General features: G+C 43.5%; 1 protein-coding gene across 4 annotated transcripts in view; it reads left to right on the top strand.

Moving 5' to 3' along the window:
- The window catches only part of DRD3 (dopamine receptor D3), a 71,828-nt gene extending 56,344 nt beyond the window's left edge, over positions 1-15,484 (top strand). For 2 of the 4 annotated variants that reach the window (NM_001282563.2, NM_001290809.1), the window contains 3 exon segments: positions 3,368-3,564; positions 11,664-11,946; positions 14,152-14,412. In NM_001282563.2, the coding sequence (NP_001269492.1) occupies positions 3,368-3,564; positions 11,664-11,946; positions 14,152-14,348 (677 nt within the window). In that variant the 3' untranslated portion in view covers positions 14,349-14,412. 4 annotated transcript variants of the gene reach the window in all.

Genomic DNA, 19,274 nt, shown 5'->3' with positions numbered 1-19,274 from the left:
CCTCTTTGGTACACAGCAGAGAAGGTTTCAGAACTGCTGCTGTGTGGTGCATCACTCTGCCCTGCCAACAGGACACACACCCAGGGCCAGGCCTGCTGGGGGCTGGGGCAGGCCCTACTCATTGGCCACCCACCTCCAGTGTCACTCTGCCTGCAATGGGGACATTCTGGAAGAGGCTGCAATGCTTGATCTAAGAAAGGGAAGCTGTTTGCTTAGATAGGGGAGGAAGGAAGAGATGGCAATGCAGGTTCTGTGATTATATGTGAGAGCCTTCGTTGACTAGGGACCCTGAAATAGCTATATGCCCTCTCAACTCTCTCTTTCAATATTTTTAATGGAGAAATAAATGCTTGCACATAAAACATTCATAAGGTGCCCATGAGATACATACATACTTATATGTAGGTCTCCCTTCTACCCCAGATTACTACATTCTCCCATCTCCCTCCCTAGAAACAAACATTAATATTCTTGCAAGATAATGCTTGCAACAGTGTGCATGTCCATACACAAATATGTTTATGTATGTGTATGTGTATTCATTATTACACAAATAGAAGCATACCATACCCCTATCTGACCCTGACTTTTTAAAAGAAGTAGCTCATATATAAAATTTAGAGGTCAGCCTCCCAGAACCCAGAGTGGGTAGGAAAAGGTAGAAAGTTAGGTGGAGGGACCAACAGGGAATATCCGGGACACCAAGGATGACAACAAGATGGGCAGTGCCACCCCACTGGCCTCTTCTCACACGTGAGACATGTGAAACGCCTCCTTATCACAGGCAGGTTTTAAAACCATAGTCAGATGCTGACAACAGAAAAGCTGACTTCAGAGAAGGAGCAGATCACCACCAACGTGGCTCCCTAGAGATTCTGAAAGACCACGCACTGCCACCCTATCCCTCTCCCCAACTCCATCACCCCCAAATACCAGCAGATGCCAATTTGGTGAACTACACAGAGCCTATGAGCCATTTTCTTTTCTTTTCTTTTTTTTTTTTTTTTTTTTTTTTTGAGAGAGAGTCTCGCTCTATCGCCCAGGCTGGAGTGCAATGGCGCGATCTCAGCTCACTGCAACTCTGCCTCCTGGGTTCAAGCGGTTCTCCTGCCTCAGCCTCCTGAGTAGCTGGGATTACAGGTGTGTGCTACCACACCGGCTAACTTTTGTATTTTTAGTAGAGACGTGGTTTCACCATGTTGGTCAGGCTCGTCTCGAACTCCTGACCTTGTGATCCACCTGCCTCGGCCTCTCAAAGTGCTGGGATTACAGGCGTGAGCCACCATGCCTGGCCCCTATAAGCCATTTTCTAAAGGATGATGACATAGGCTTTGGTGAAACAACATGAAATTTACCTGAATTTTACCTCCTCTTCAGAGAACCAGAGAATTTAGGAGTAGCTTGTAAAGATTCTAGTGGCAAAGATGTCAGTAAAATGCATCACTGGTCACTGAGCACACTCTTTTCGTTTTAGTTCTTAGCTGTTATTTCCTTCCTTCTCCCACAAATATTGCTCCCTATAAGTCTGTCTCCAAATTCCCATTTCAGATGTTACCTTCCCTTTCAGTTCAAAAGGCTCAGGGGAGAGAAATAATAAATAATAAATAAATAAATATTAAGAATAGCTACCATTTATTCTCATTAATTCTCACAACTACTATACAATATTTCTAGGCTTTTTCTTTTAACAGGTAATAAAACTGAAGCTTTGCATATTTAAGAAATGTGTCAGCTGGGTGCAGTGGTTCACGCCTGTAATCCCAGCACTTTGGGAGGCCAAGGAGGGTGGATCACCTGAGGTGGGGAGTTTGAGACCAGCCTGACCATCATGGAGAAACCCCTTCTCTACTAAAAATACAAAAAAATTAGCTGGGCATGGCGGCCCATGCCTGTAATCCCAGCTACTTGGGAGGCTGAGGCAGGAGAATCGCTTGAACCTGGGAGATGGAGGTTGCGGTGAGCCGAGATCGAGCCATTGGATTCCAGCCTGGGCAACAAGGGCAAAATTCCGTCTCAAAAAATAAATAAATTAATTAATTGATTAATTAAAGAAACGTGTCCAAGATCACACAGTTAATAAATAGCAGACCTGAATCTCACACTGAAGGCTCTCTGGCTTCCACCTACCTCAGAAGACCAAGAAGCAGAATAAGGGTCCTACATGGCCACTGCCCTCTCCCCACCAGCCCACACCTGAGGCTTCATCTTCCAAGGCCAACTTTGAGGTTGGAGAATCCCCAACCCTTTATGAAGACTGGCCGGGTGTACCAACAGTTGTTGCTCACAGTGCTGGATGAAGCACAGATGTTCCATGTCACAATGGTAAAGAGGGATGGGGAGTTAAAATTATAGAAAGAACATTGGCTTGGGCATAAAACTGGCTGCAAGAACATATTTTTCAGGTGCAGCCTTGGGCTACTTACTGAACCTCTCTGAGCTTTAATCTGCTCATCCGAAAAGAGAGACAGTAATAATGGCACCTGTCTCATATAACGTTGCCTTAATTATTAGGTGGGATAAGGGGTACAAAGCTCTTGGCTCATCGCCTGGCAGATATTAGTTTGCTTTTCTTTTCTTTTTCAAGATGGGGCACGTTTCAGGCCCATCTTGGGCCTTGGAGGAATCTCAGCATCTGCTATGAAGAAGGCAAAGCTAGAGGGACCTCCCAAGGAGAAATGGCAGGAACATTTCAGGATATAAAGCAGGGACAAGGACCCTTCTAAGTGCACATTCTCCATGTCACAATATCATTACCTGCCTTTTTCCCATCCCACCTCTGACAAGTGCTGGGATTCCCTGAAAAATCAAATCTCTGTCTTGTATTCAGCCGCCATCTGCCCTCCATCCCAGATTCAAAATTGGAGAACTGGCATTCTCAGCAAATAAGGCTTCTTCCTTTCATTGCATTCAAACAATTCTCCAATGCCTCCGCACCAGCAGGCCCTTTTCTGAGGGCTGCATCCCTCCTGGGAGCCTCTGCCCTGTTGCCCTGTAATGCTCTCCCCAGCCTCCCAGGCTGCATGTCTCTGTGTGACACTTGTGACATCCTATGAAAGGGATCATCTGTCTATCTAGACTGTTTGCTCCCTTGAGAGAAGACATGGTGTCTCATTCATCTTTGTAGCCCCAGTGTCTGGCGTATGATTGTTGGTAACTTTTTATTTTAAGCAAGCTGTAAGAAACTCAAAGATGAATTAGACCTTCTACCCTCAAGGACCTGACAGTATACGTATCTGAGACTGCATCCTTCCCACCCCCTGTGCAGCAGAAAGTGCAGGCACCACACGTGACATGGAGCCGTGTTTTATGCTCCTTACTGAGTTCTGATACTTGCTAACTGCTTTACCTTCCCCCTTCTCATCCACAGGGGACCCCACTGTCTGCTCCATCTCCAACCCTGATTTTGTCATCTACTCTTCAGTGGTGTCCTTCTACCTGCCCTTTGGAGTGACTGTCCTTGTCTATGCCAGAATCTATGTGGTGCTGAAACAAAGGAGACGGAAAAGGATCCTCACTCGACAGAACAGTCAGTGCAACAGTGTCAGGCCTGGCTTCCCCCAGCAAGTAAGTACCCTGGAGGGGGTAGAGGGAAGACAACACCCAATCTCCTGACTTCCCAGCCTGTGTCCAGCAGTGCATGATTTTGCCGTTTAGCTAAATTGGAGACACAAATCTGACACCGACTTTGGAATCTGCTAATTTTGGCTGCGCTTTGAAGGTAGGAAATCCAATCTCAAGAAAACATTGATAGTTGCCTCTAGAGCCTGCCTTACCTGGCAAAGTGATTGGAGAGCTCCTGGGCTTGTTCTGCTTCCCTTCAAAGTCTTTCATTTTCCCCAAATGGGCAGCAGCTCAGATGTCCCACAGGTTTTGAAGTTTAAGTGCAGCAGTTGTACCTTGCACTGCTGGTGGGTTCCCAGAACTGACTTTTTGTCTAAACCACTCATGCCAAGAATCACTGGGGTCCATCAAAGCCTTTTTTCCTTACTGGATCTGTCCGTGTGTCAAGGAACTGACAAGCTGGTGGGATAGGGTGCTGATAAAGCATTTTATTGGATCTTTCTAGGCTCTGAAAAGAAATGTCATTGCCTCTGCAATGATCTTCTAATTGCTAGGGCTTTAATTTCTCCTTACCCCATTGTCTGGCACTTAGTAGTTTTCCCACGATGTACTTGAAGCATGAATGGATATATACCGATCACTTGAAATCTACTAGGGAAGGGACAGTGGTAACATTAAACAGCATCTGCCTTCATGGAGCTTAGAATCTAGAAAAGCAAATAAAGCACCCCTCCACTCAATGTTAATGAAGATCCCAGAGCTGAATAGGATGTTTGCCAAATGTGAGGTGAAGACAATTAAGCACTCAATTATGAAGTGCTCTGGAGGTTATAGAAGAGAAAACCCAATATGCTCAGTGATATGGTTTGGCTGTGTCCCCACCCAAATCTCATCTTGAATTGTAGCTCCCACAATTCCCATGTGTCATGGGAGGGACCCAGTGGGAGGTAACTGAATGATGGGGGTGGGTCTTTCCCTTGCTGTTCTCATGATAGTGAATAAGTCTCACGAGATCTGATGGTTTTATGAGGGGGAGTTTCCCTGCACAAATTTTCTCTTGTCTGCTGCCATGTAAGACGTGCCTTTCACCTTCCACCATGATTGTGAGGCCTCCCCAGCCACATGGAACTGTGAATCCATTAAACTTCTTTTTCTTTATAAATTACCCAGTCTCAGGTATGTCTTTATTAGCAGCATGAAAACAGGCTAATACACTCAGGAAAGGGCTCCATAGACAGAGTAAGAATTGAGTTTGATCTTGAAGACAGATCCAATTTGGGTGTCTAGATTAATCTTTGATGACCTAGATAATCTTTTTTTTTTTTTTTTTTTTTGAGACAGAGTCTCGCTCTGTCACCCAGACTGGAGTGCAGTGACATGATCTCAGCTCACTGCAGCCTGTACCTCCTGGGTTCAAGCGATTCTCGTGCCTCTGCCTCCCGAATAGCTGGGATTACAGGTGCCCACCAACACATCTGGCTAATTTTTTTTTTTTTTTTTTTTTTGAGACGGAGTCTCGCTCTGTGGCCCAGGCGGGAGTGCAGTGGCGCAATCTCAGCTCACTGCAAGCTCCGCCTCCCGGGTTCACGCCATTCTCCTGCCTCAGCCTCCCGAGTAGCTGGGACTACAGGCGCCCACCATCACGCCCGGCTAATTTTTTTTTTTTTGTATTTTTAGTAGAGACGGGGTTTCACTGTGTTAGCCAGGATGGTCTCGATCTCCTGACCTCGTGATCCGCACGCTTCGGCCTCCCAAAGTGCTGGGATTACAAGCGTGAGCCACCGCGCCCGGCCACATCTGGCTAATTTTTGTATTTTTAGTAGAGACAGGGTTTTTCCTTGTTGGCTAGGCTGGTCTATAATGCCTGGCCTCAAATGATCTGCCCACCTCAACCTCTCCAAGTGCTGGGATTACAGGCATAAGTGCCCAGCCTGATGACCTACATTATCTCTGATGACCTGTTAAGGTCTTTGATGATGTCAAAAGTATGAATGAAGGTCAGACTCTTAAGTTGAAGTCCCAAGGCTTGAGTGAAACAAGACTATTAATCCCCATGAAAGAGGAGATCAAGACCCAAGGCTGAGGATATGAAAGTATTGCATTCAAAATATTATCATGTCCCATGGCTATCAATGACATGGCTAGACCCACAACTAACTGTTCCTTCTTCTACACCCCCTGCCCAGTCTTCTTGTCTGCACCTGCACCCCATTCAGCAGTTGTCAGTAAGGGCCTGATTTCCATCACATGCCACAGGAAAAATGGTAAGTGGGCCATGTCTGATCATAGAGAAAGAATAAGAGACCTTTTCCCACAATACTGGCTTATCTTGATTCTACTCTCACCCCAGAATGAAACCTTACCCTGATTCCCACACATATATCTATAAGACAAGATCTGAAATTCTTCCTAATTTAAGCTTCAGAATAGAATTCATCAGAAGATATTGAGAAAGCATATGACTATTGGACTTGACCTTAGTGACTGGAGCCAATGACTCTTGCACACGGTGTGACAATGCCATCCAAGGCCACCTGCATTAGAGGAAACAGACGTCAAGGGAACACACATGGACAGAGCAAAAACCAGGCAGAGAAAGGAAAATTTCAAGTGCCATATTTACCACTGAATGTGGGAAAAACCAAGACAACTTCATGGTCACCATTAGCCTTGTTCTTCCAATTCAAGCCAGGCCTGCCTCGCCCAGCTAGCAGAGTGCAGAGTGGAGTCTGGAGGTGTTAGATATGAGAACAGTATTCCTCTCTGAATTCCACATTAGAAATAAAACTTCAAAAATTTGTAATAATTAAGGTCTGAGCTTTGTTCAATCTCAGTATAGTTAATGACTTTCTACACAGGCCTGGTGTGGTAATTGGAGATAATCATTTTAAACGATAATAGCTATGCAGCTCAAAGTTGCCTATGGCTGATCCAAGGTCTAAGGAGGCTTCAAGGCCAAGAGGAGGAAAAATATTGAATACAAAAGAGAGATCAGACAGCCAAGAGACTGGCATTTCCAAGAGTGTGGAGAATTAGGTTCTGTCCTGCCATCTGGGAGTGGAGGGCTCTGCCAGCCAGACCCAGAGGAATCCAGTGTTTCCTCATGTCAGTCATGGAAGTAGTGATCAGGTTTTGCAGACAGAGCTGAAAAATACACTCACCAATATATAATCTTGGAAGAATCATTTTCCTACTATAGGACTGAATTTCCATATCTGTAAAATGGAAACAGGGTATACTAGATCAATGTTTTCAAATATGAGGTTTTTTTGTTTTTGTTTTTGTTTTTGAGACAGAGTCTCACTCTGTTCCCCAGGCTGGAGTGCAGTGGTGTGATCACAGCTCATGGCAGCCTTGAACTCTTGGGCTGCACCCAGCTAATATGAGATTTCTTAGGCAATCCCAAGAATTTGTTTCCCATCCCCTAGTTTTAGAAATAATGCGTTAGAAGTCAAATATTGTCACTTTAAGAAGATCAGTAGGTGCCAGTTTAATTGTAAACATAATCTTGGGGCCGCGTGTGGTGGCTCACGCCTGTAATCCCAGCAATTTGAGAGGCCAGGATGGGCAGATCACCAGGTCAGGAGTTCGAGACCAGCCTGACCAACATGGTGAAACCCCATCTCTACTTAAAAAAATACAAAAATTAGCCGGGCATGGTGGCATGCACCTATAATCCCAGCTACTCAGGAGGCTGAGGCACAAGAATCACTCTAACCCAGGAAGCAAAGGTTGCAGTGAGCAGAGATTTCACCACTACACTCCAGCCTGGGCGACAGAGGGAAACTCCATCTCAAAAACAAACAAACAACAACAAAAAAAAACAAACAAAAAAACACACCATAATCTCTGTTGTAAATAGGCATTCAGATAAAATGAAATATGCTTATTTTAATTATTAGAAAATGCCATCAAACTAAAAACCAAAAAATGTTAAATATGTATTCTCTTAACTTGACGTCATGTTAAGTGAAATAAGCCAGACATAGTAAGACAAATATCGGCCGGGCGCGGTGGCTCACGCCTGTAATCCCAGCACTTTGGGAGGCCGAGGCGGGTGGATCATGAGGTCAAGAGATCGAGACCATCCTGGCTAACAAGGTGAAACCCCGTCTCTACTAAAAATACAAAAAATTAGCCGGGCGCGGTGGCGGGCGCCTGTAGTCCCAGCTACTCGGGAGGCTGAGGCAGGAGAATGGCGCGAACCCGGGAAGCGGAGCTTGCAGTGAGCCGAGATTGCGCCACTGCAGTCCGCAGTCCGGCCCGGGCGACAGAGCGAGACTCCGTCTCAAAAAAAAAAAAAAAAAAAAAAAAAAAAGACAAATATCACATGTTCTCAATCACATATGGAAGCTAAAAAAGTGGTTATCGTGAAAATAGAGAGTAGGTTCATGGTTACCAGAGGCTAGGAAGGAGATGGGGGAGGGGGCGAGAAAGAGAGGTGGATTCAGGGGTACAAACATACAATTAAATAGAAGGAACAAGTTCTAGTGTCTAATAGCACAGTAGGGTGACTACGCTTAACAACAGTTTTTATATATTTCAGAATACCTAGAAGAAAAGATTTGAAATGCTCCCAACACAAAGAAATGATAATTGTTTGAAGTGATGACTAGCCTGATTTGATCATTACACATTGTATGCATGTATCAAAATATTGCATTTGCCCCACAAATATGTAAAATTATTATATATGAATTTTTAAAATCTTCAAGAAAAAAATGTATATTATTCTAGAATTCCTAAGAATACCTCTGTGGACCACCATTTAAAAAAAACTCTAGGCCAGATGCTGTGGCTCATGCTTGTAATCCCAGCACTTTGGGAGGCTGAGGTAGGTGGATCACTTGGGGTCAGGAGTTCGAGACCAGCCTGGCCAAAATAGTGAAACCCCATCACTATTAAAAATACAAAAATTAGCCAGGTGTGATGGTGGGCGCCTGTAATCCCAGCTACTCAGGAGTCTGAGGCAGGAAAATTGCTTGAACCTGGGAGGCAGAGGTTGCAATGAGCCGAGATCATGCCACTTCACTCCAGCCTGGTGACAGAGTGAGACTTTGTCTTAAAGAATAAATAAATAAATAAAAATTTTAAAAACTTAAATTGGCTGGGCATGTTGGCTCACACCTGTAATCCCAACACTTTTGGAGGCCAAGACAGGAGGATCACTTGAGCCCAGGAATTTGAGACCAGCCTGGCCAACATAGCAAGACCTCATTTCTACTAAAAATAATAAATAAATAAATAACACTAAATAGTCTTGAAGACCGCTTGCATTCATTCATTCATTCTGAGTATGTACAATGTGCCAGTTCTGTGTACCTAGAAGACTGCTTCCTTGAACTAAGGAAACCAAAGCGAGGGGTTTTTGTTGCTGACACTGAATAACTTACGTAGAAAACAAATTTACTGGAAAGCTGTCAGGTGGCTCACAGGCTCAATGAGAAGGCTGAAGAACAGCTTCAGAAAGATGCTATTCATGCCTAAGAAATAATCTAGTTAGAAAACCTAACACACTGGACATTGAATGCCACCACTACTAGAGGAGTTCTGAAGTCTCCCTGCTTCACAAGTTCCAGTTCAAAGTCTCAGGTGTGAATCTGCAATTGACTGGGCTTGGTGCATGTGCCTGAGCTCTAGCTGCATGGGAATGGAGGTATGAAGTGAATATCTGGCTTTTATGCCATCAGTAATGGGAGTTGAAGAGTTGAGTTCTGCCTCCTGTTCAAGACTGACACAATAGTCTGATTCTTCAAACATGAAAAGAAGTTCAAGTTGGGCACACACACACCTCCCCCTCCATACCAGAAAAGTTAACATATTTCAGTATTCCATTCTCAGAGGCTACTCATCCCAAACCCATTTTTCCCTATTTCTTTTCTGTTTTACAAAGGAAGCTCAGAGATATTAAATTAACTTGCCTAAAGATACATCTACTAAGTAAGAGAGCTGAGAAGAAAATCCTGGGTTTTCTTTTTTTTTTTTTAATTTCTATTATGGAAGTTTTCAAAAATAAAAAAGTAGACAAATATAACAACCCCCCAGTAGCCATCAGGCAGCCTCAGTCGTGATCAATTCGTGGTCAGTCTTATTTCATCTACAATCCCACCTACGTTCACACATCCCCACTGGATTGCTATGAAGCAAATACTAAACACCGTATTATTTCAACCCAAAATATTTCTGCAAGATCCTCTAAAGAATACAGACTGTTGGCCAGGCACGGTGGCTCACGCCTGTAATCCCAGCACTTTGGGAGGCCAAGGTGGGCAGATCACATGAGGTCAGGAGTTTGCGACCAGCCTGACCAACATGGAGAAACCCATCTCTACTAAAAATACAAAATTAGGCAGGCGTGGTGGCACATGCCTGTAATCCCAGCTACTTGGGAGGCTGAGGCAGGAGAATCTCTTGAACCCGGGAGGCAGAGGTTGCAGTGAACCGAGATCACACCACTGCACTCCAGCCTGGGCAACAAGAGCGAAAGTCTGTCTCAAAAAAAAAAAAGAATACGGACTGTTTTATAAGACACATAACCACAATACCACATCACACTAAAAAATTAATAGTTTTCTAATATCATTAAATGTCCAATTGATGTTCAAATTTCCCCAATTGTCTTGTAAATTATTTTACAGTTGGTTTGTTTGAATCAAAATTCAAATAAGGCACATATTTTGCAACTGGTAAGTATTGTCATTGTTGTTGTTAAAATTTATTTGTTGAAGAAACTGAGTCATTTGTCTTGTGGAGTTTCCCACACTCCACATTTCGGGGCTTATGTCATAGTGGTGTCACTTAATGTGTTTCTCTGTATCACCAGGTCATTCTAACTCAAAAAGGCCAGACTACAATTCTGTGCTACCCTGCTCAAGAGGTTGTTGTGATTATCAAATGTTCTATATGTGGTGGGTGCTGCTTTTTTTTTTTTTTTACTTTAAGTTCTGGGGTACGTGTGCTGAACGTGCAGGTTTGTTACATAGGTATACATGTGCCATTGTGGTTTGCTGAATCTATCAACCTATCATCTAGGTTTTAAGCTCTGCATGGATTAGGTATTTGTCCTAATGCTCTTCCTCCCCTTGCCCCCCATCCCTTGACAGGCCCTGGTGTGTGATGTTCCCCTCCCTTTGTCCATGTGTTCTCACCGTTCAGCTCCCACTTATGAGTGAGAACATGTGGTGTTTGGTTTTCTCTTCCTATGTTAGTTTGCTGAGGATGATGGTTTCCAGCTTCATCCATGTCCCTGCAAAAGATATGAACTCATTCTTTTTTATGGCTGCATAGTATTCTATAGTGTATATGTGTCACATTTTCTTTATACAGTCTATCATTGATGGGCATTTCACTTGGTTCCAAGTCTTTGCTATTGTAAATATTGCTGCAGTAAACATACATGTGTATGTGTCTTTACAGTAGAATGATTTATAATCTTTTGGATATATACCCAGTAATGGGATTGCTGGGTCAAATGGTATTTCTGGTTCTAGATCCATGAGGAATCGCCACAGTCTTCCACAATGGTTGAACTAACTTACACTCCCACCAACAGTGTAAAAGCGTGCCTATTCTCATCCTCACCAACATCTGTTGTTTTCCAGACTTTTTAATGATTGCCATTCTAACTGGCCTGAGATGTTATCTCATTGTCATTTTGATTGCATTTCTCTAATGACCAGTGATGACAAGCTTTCTTTTATATGTTTGTTGGCTGCATAAATGTCTTCTTTTGAGAAGTGTCTATTCATATCCTTTGCCCACTTTTTAATGGGGTTATTTTCTTGTAAATTTGTTTAAGTTTCTTGTAGATTCTGGATATTAGACCTTTGTCAGATGGATAGATTGCAAAAATTTTCTCCCATTCTGTAGGCTGCCTGTTCACTCTGATGATATGGTGGGTGCTTTTTAGTTGTAAAGTCTAAAGCAAATTTCATTTCCCTTAACTTCTCATGGTCCCACCACTCCCTCAGATGTTCCCTTTGTAGGTTTCCCACAACTGTGTTGCCGTCTTCCTTCTTTGAATTCTCTGGCCCTTTCAGGAACATTCAGAAGATAAACAATACCCCCAGAAATGTCAAGATTCCCTCTTGTCACACCTGCAGACCCTCTCTCCTGACCCGGCACATCTGGAGCTGAAGCGTTACTACAGCATCTGCCAGGACACTGCCTTGGGTGGACCAGGCTTCCAAGAAAGAGGAGGAGAGTTGAAAAGAGAGGAGAAGACTCGGAATTCCCTGAGTCCCACCATAGCGCCCAAGCTCAGCTTAGAAGTTCGAAAACTCAGCAATGGCAGATTATCGACATCTTTGAAGCTGGGGCCCCTGCAACCTCGGGGAGTGCCACTTCGGGAGAAGAAGGCAACCCAAATGGTGGCCATTGTGCTTGGTAAGTTTGGGTTGGCTTGAGCTGTGTTGGGTTGGGTTAGGTTGTGTTAAGTTAAGTGGAGCTGGTAGAAGATGCTATCGGAAATTTGATGACAGTAATACTTATCAAATGTTCACAATATAATTGAAAAGTATTTGTGTATAAATGCTAACTCTGGTGGAAATTCAAAAGACCTAGGCTGAAATTTATGAAGCTGAACAAGCCACTTAACTGCGCTGTCCATTATATGGAGCTACAACACATAAATCAAACAATAAGTAAGATAATGATTCAATAAAACTGTCTGGTACATATTGGATATTTAACAAATGCTTAGTTATTTAAAATATTAAGTGATAAAAATAAGAATGCAAAACACTATTGTGATATGGTATGATAAAATCTAGATTACTTTAGGCCGGGCATGATGGCTCAAGCCTGTAATTCCAGCACTTTGGGAGGCCGAGGTGGGCAGATCACGAGGTCAGGAGATCGAGACCATCCTGGCTAACACGGTAAACCCCGTCTCTACTAAAAATGCAAAAAATTAGCCAGGCGTGGTGGTGGGCGCCTGTAGTCCCAGCTACTCAGGAGGCTGAGGCAGGAGAATGGCCTGAACCTGGGAGGCAGAGCTTGCAGTGAGCCAAGATCACGCCACTGCACTCCAGCCTGGGCGACAGAGCAAGACTCCATCTCAAAAAAAAAAAAAAAATCTAGATTATTTTAAATACAGAGTAAAAAAGACTGGAAAGAAATTCACCAATATATCAAAAGTGATTGTCTTTGAGTGGTGGGTGCTTATTCCTTTTTTCCTACTTGTCTGTATTTACCAAGCTTTCCATAATGCATACAATCAAGATTTTTTGTTTTTTGTTTTTTTGAGACATGGTCTGACTCTGTTGCCTAGGCTGGAGTGCAGTGGCACAATCATAGCTCACTGCAGCCTTGAACTCCTGGGCTCAAGCAATCCTCCTGCCTGAGCCTCCCGAGTAGCTAGAACTACAGGCGTATGCCCCCATGACCAGCTAATTTTTTTAATTTTTATTTGTTTTTTGTAGTGACAGGGTCTCATTACGTTGCCCAGGCTGGTCTCAAACTCATGGCATCAAGCAATCCTCCCATCTCAGCCTCCTGAGTTCTGGGTTCTCTGCCTCCTGGGTTCAAGTGATTCTCCTGCCTCAGCCTCCCAAGTAGCTGAGATTACAGGCATGCGCTACCACACCCGGCTAATTTTTGTATTTTTAGTAAAGACAAGGTTTCGCCATGTTAGTCAGGCTGGTCTTGAATTCCTGACCTCAGGTGATCCACCCACCTTGGCCTCCCAAACTGCTGGGATTACAGGTGTGAGCCACTGTGCCCAGCCTGAACTTTATTTAAATAAAGAAATTAAAAATGAATAAATCACAGGTATGCTATAGAGTTAGTGAAGGCAGTTCATCCTGTTCAGTGTCACTGACAAACCCCAACTCTCTCCTGTATCAGGGAGTTTACTAGAACTCCTAGATGTAATCTCCTCAACAGCAGGAACGATGTCAGTCACATCTTTAAGGTCTTCATACCTATCAGTGCCTAGGATCATGTTTTGCATAGGTAGGCATTAAATAAACGTCTGAATTGAATTGAAAAAGAAAAAGACTAGTAAAGAACTACCTAGAGACCCAACTAGAAAACTGATTTAGTAACAAAGGCCAAAGTGAATGAAAGACATTAGCATGCAGTTTTCTCACCTAAAAAAGTTTGGCTAATCACACCTATTTCATAGGGTTGGGTTTTTTTTGTTTTGTTTTGTTTTTTTTGAGATGGAGTATTACTCTGTCACCCAGGCCGGAGTGCAATGGCGCAATCTTGGCTCACCACAACCTCTGCCTCCCGGGCTCAAGCAACTCTCCTGCCCCAGCTTCCCGAGTAGCTGGGCTTATAGGCACGCACCACCACGCCCAGCTAATTTTTGTATTTTTAGTAGACATAGGGTTTCACCTTGTTGCCCAGACTGGTCTTGTACTCCTGACCTCAGGTGATCCACCCGCCTCGGCCTCCCAAAGTGTTGAGATTACAAGCGTGAGCCACCACACCCGGCCTAGGGTTGTTATAAAAAAAAGTAAGTGGGTATGCAAAACTTCCAGCTTAGTGGCTGGCATAAAGTAGACAACCGTGAGTCATTCTCATGTTATAACAAAAGGAGTAAGCAAATCCCTTACCCAGTTTCTCTCTTATTTGGCAACTTAGGGGCCTTCATTGTCTGCTGGCTGCCCTTCTTCTTGACCCATGTTCTCAATACCCACTGCCAGACATGCCACGTGTCCCCAGAGCTTTACAGTGCCACGACATGGCTGGGCTACGTGAATAGCGCCCTCAACCCTGTGATCTATACCACCTTCAATATCGAGTTCCGGAAAGCCTTCCTCAAGATCCTGTCTTGCTGAGGGAGCAGAAGAGGGAACACTCTTTGTACCCATTTCTAGCTGCCAGGCTGTTGGCCCACTCAGAAAGACTGTGCAGTGTCCTCCGGCATGCAGTAGGAAGAAGATTCCTGGAGCCAGGATGTCCCTGCTTGTCAGGTATAACCAGATGTGTCCTCCAAAACAGAATATTCTACCTCCCCAGCTAAAATCTGACTTCATTCTGACAATCTTCAAATGACTGGGGAGCTTCCAAGTGATAAGCAATAATTCAGAAAGAAGCTGATAAAACATGACTCACACAAAATTGTCATCAGAGGCATGATTCATTACACTGAAGGAAAATGAACAGATCTCATCATTCTCAACTTGCAGGGGTCCTTGAAATCAGCCAGTAAACCACCTTCTAGAACAGCCAGTCTGTCTTCCTTCAAACCTCTAATTAACTGTCAGGCTAACCTTGTACTTTTACGGGCCCATTCCTCTTGGTCATTTCTTTCCTTCACTGTATCTGGAACTGTGAATGGCAAGGCCAGTGCTTCTACCTCTCTGTAGAATCCGATGGGCTACATTTGGTGAGGTGAATTTCTCACACCAAGAGAAACACTGTCCCACATTGGGATGGGGGCTTCATTTCAAACTTTGCTACCCTTGTATTTTAGCTTTAGCTAAGAAGGCTTTCTGATTCCATTCCTTTACTCTCTAGAGGAAATCTCAGAGTCTCAACTTCCAGAATCATTCAAGATGGGGATATTTTCTGAAGACGGAATGACACATCCCATTGTAGTTTCACTGTTGAAACTTATGGTTCAGAACATACCTTAGATATGCTTTTCATAACACTACCAAATTTTCCTACCCAGGGCATCTCCATTTCTGCTTAACAGGGACCCAATATAGTGGACCACATCATGACATTTTGGGCAACAGTGGACCACATATACAACGGTGGTCTCATAAGATAATAATGGAGCTGAAGAATTTCTATCACTTAATGATGTCATAGCTGTTGCAACATCATAGCTCAATGCATTATTTACATGTCTGTGGTGATGCTGGTATAAACAAAATGATGCTGCCAGTCGTGTAAAAGTATACAATTGTGTACAGTACGTAATACTTAATATTGATAATAAATGACTATGTTACTGGTTTATGTATTTACTATACTAAACTTTTCACCATTTTAGAGTATGCTTCTACTTATTTCAAAAAAGTTAATCATAAAACTGCCTCAGGCAGGTCCTTCAGGAGGTATTTCAGAAGAAGGCATTGTTATAAGGGATGACAGCTCCCTGTGTGTTATCGCCCTTGAAGACCTTCTAATGGGACAAGGTGTGGAGGTGGGAGACAGTGATATTGATGATCCTGACCCGGTTTAGGCCTAGGCTAATGTGTGTGATTATGTCTTAATTTTTAACAAAGCAGTTTGAAAAGCAAAAAATAGTTTTGAAAATAGAAAAAAATATATAGAGTAAGTACATAAAGAAAGAAAATATTCTTGTCCAGCTATCCAGTGTGTTTGTGTTTTAAGCTAAGTGTTATTACAAAAGAGTCAAAAATGTCAAAAAAAATTTAAGTTTATAGGTAAAAAAGGGACTGTAAGCCAAGATTAATTTATTATTGAAGAAAGAAAAACTTTTAAAATAAATTTAGTGTAGTCTGGGTGTACAGTGTTGATAAAGTCTATAGTAGCATACAGTAATATCCCAGGCCTGCCCATCCACTCACCGCTCACTCACTGACTAACCCAGTCTTAACAGCTGAACTCAGCTTCCAGTCTGCAAGCTCCATTTATGGTAAGAATCCTATATAGGTGCACCGTTTTTTGTCTTTTATATCATATTTTTACTGTATCTTTTCTACGCGAGTTATACAAATACTCCCCATTGTGTTACAATTGCCCACAATATTCAGCACAGTTACATGCTGTCTGGATTTATAGCCTAGAAGCAATAGACTACACCATATAGCCTAAATTGTGTAGTAGGCCATATGATCTGGGTTTGTATAAGTATACTACATGACGTTTGCACAGCAATGAGATCACCTAATGATGCATTTCTCAGAACATATCCCTGTAGTTAAACAATGTGTGACTGTACTCTCAGACTCTGAGACTCACTAAGTAGTGTCCACAAAGTGCCAGCCACTTCCCCAGGTTCTAGATATACAACAATGAATAACACAGCTCCTGCCCTCAGGGAGCTCATTTCCTGCTTTTATATTTGCCCATTTACTTGTCTAAGGGGGGTAGGAACTCACCTGGACTGCCAGAGGACCTCAGGACTGATGGGTGGCACCAGGCGGGGTGGCTGTCCAAAGCCATCACATGGACAGTCTTTGCAAAGTCCTGGTGCAGATCCTAAACGTCACCCCTCCAACAACTGAGATTAAAGGTATAGCAGAAATAATTTGTAAATGTTATTCAAAACCACATTTAGAAGGAACCTGAATATTCTCGCCATTTAACTTCTCACCTACAGAAGCTATTTTTATTGATTGCAGAATCAAGATACAATTTATAGATAATTTATGAAACATCCTGAACTTCAGTAAATTTACTTTTAAGAGCTGTTAGTGTGTAGCCATGACAGATACCTGCTGCAATGCTGTTAAAACTTTATTTATTTATTTTTTTATTTTGAGATGGAGTCTCCCTCTGTCACCCAGGTTGGAGTGCCGTGGCACAATCTCAGCTCACTGCAACCCCCGCCTCCCGGGTTCTAGCGACTCTCCTTCCTCAGCCTCCCGAGTAGCTGGGATTAGAGGTGCGTGCCACCAAACCTGGCTAATTGTTTATATTTTTGGTAGAGACAGGGTTTCACCATGTTGGCCAGACTGGCCTTGAATTCCTGACCTCAAGTGATCCTCTCGCCTCGGCCTCCCAAAGTGCTGGGATTACAGGCGTGAGCCACCACGCCCAGCCTGCTGTTAAAACTTTAAAGTATACTAGGACTTTACAAGGAATCCAAGGCCTCCCTTGCCCTGTCTTTATTCCTCTTGTCCTTAAATATATAATAAGGAAATACACACACTCTCAGTGAGTTGCTTACCTGTTACTCGTGAATGCTTTTAATGCCAGCATTTTTTTTTTTTTTTCGAGACAGAGTTTCGCTCTTATTGCTCAGGCTGGAGTGCAATGGCACGATCTCGGCTTACTGCAACTTCTGCCTCCTGGGTTCAAGCGATTCTCCTGCTTCAGCCTCCCGAGTAGCTGGGATTACAGGCGCCCACCATCACGTCCAGCTAATTTTTTGTATTTTCAGTGGAGACGGGGTTTCGTCATGTTGGCCAGGCTGGTCTTGAACTCCTGACCTCAGGTGAACCACCAGCCTTGGCCTCCCAAAGTGCTGGGATTACAGGTGTGAGTCACCATGCCCGGCCAATGCCAGCATTTTTTAAATGCCTATAATAATGTTTATATTGTAACTTGGTGGGAAAATTCTGTCTGCCCATTAGTTCTTGTACCTTGTGCCACCCAGCTCATCCAGGTTTATGGTGTGAGCTAAGCTGAGACTTGAGATGATTAAAATCTGCAAAAGTAAAAATAGATGATTTCCAGGTTTTTCCATGCAAAATAAACAGAAAATGGATGAGACGGTGGAGTAAAAGATCATAGAATTCCATGTCAAAACCAGAGTTCTAAAGGCATAAACATAAACAACGGGCTGGGCATAGTGGTTTATGCCTGTAATCCGAGCACTTTGGGAGGCCAAGGCAGGAGGATTGCTTGAGCCTAGTAGTTTGAGACCAGCATGGACAAGATGGCAAGATGCTGTCTCTACAAAAAAATATAAAGTTAGCTGGTCATGGTGGCATGCACCAGTGGTCCCAGCTACTTGGGAGGCTGAGGCAGGAGTATTGCTTGAACCCAGTAGATCAAGGCTACGGTGATCCATGATTGCACAACTGCACTCCAGCCTGGGCAACACAGTGAGACCTGTCTCAAAAAACAACAACAAAAAAAACCATAAACAACATCAGTATTGGTATATTTGTGAGGAAGAATAATAACGAACCTCCTGTGTCCTTTTTTCACATCAAATATTCAACCCTTATGATAGCCTTCAGGAAGACAAACTCCATGTTATAGATGAGGAAACTGAAGCAGAGGGAGGTTAAGAAATTTGCCCCAGGTCACACACAGTCAGTAAGTGGCAGAGCATGGATTAAAATGTGTCTCTGTTTGATTTCCAAGTCCAGGCGATTTGCCACTACAGCACATTGCCTCCCACCAGAGAGGTAAAGGGGAACGGAGAAAGAGTGGGGAAGAAAAAGATGGAACAAAGATCCCTGGGGCAGCCTCATCCTACCCCATCCACTTGCACCCCAAACTTTCCTAAGAACCCAACCCAAGACATTAATTTACTTTCCTGCCACATCCAGTTTCTAAAATGGTAGCACGGGAAACTCATCTATTTTTATAGAATCATGGAACAGTTTTTAGAGCGTATTTGGGTCTGCCCTCTCCTTCATTTACAGAAAAGGGAACTGAGGCCCAGAAGTGTTGTCCCCTAGCTGGTTAATGACAGCCTGGCACTCAAATGTGCTGAATCCTAGTTCTGTACTCTTTCTATTTTGCTGCATTCCTAAGGGCCCTATAAAAACGGTAAACTTCATGCAGATACAAAGTAAAAGTTATATTGTCACCTCCACCATTAAACTGCGAGCCACCCCTTTTCTAGATAGTGTCTATTATCCCTAATTCTAGACAACATCTTTTTTCCCGCATTTTCTTCTGATCCAGGAAGAGCTTCCTACAGGAATCCCAAACGAATCTCCAAGCTAGCACTTCAGCCTCTTCATCCTGAGACTCCTCATTCTACCTCCTCTGCCTCTACAGTCCCCACATGAACCCACACACTTACTCTCAGAGCTCACTACCTTCAGAGCCAGCATGGCCAAAAATCCCAGGAGAGAGGTTGGCCTGAATGAAGCAGAGCGGAA

The sequence above is a fragment of the Homo sapiens genome, chromosome 3, assembly GCF_000001405.40.
Source record: "Homo sapiens chromosome 3, GRCh38.p14 Primary Assembly".
Taxonomy (NCBI): Eukaryota; Metazoa; Chordata; class Mammalia; order Primates; family Hominidae; genus Homo; species Homo sapiens.
Note: the sequence above shows the minus strand (reverse complement) of the source record. Positions and strands in the feature narration are given on the sequence as shown.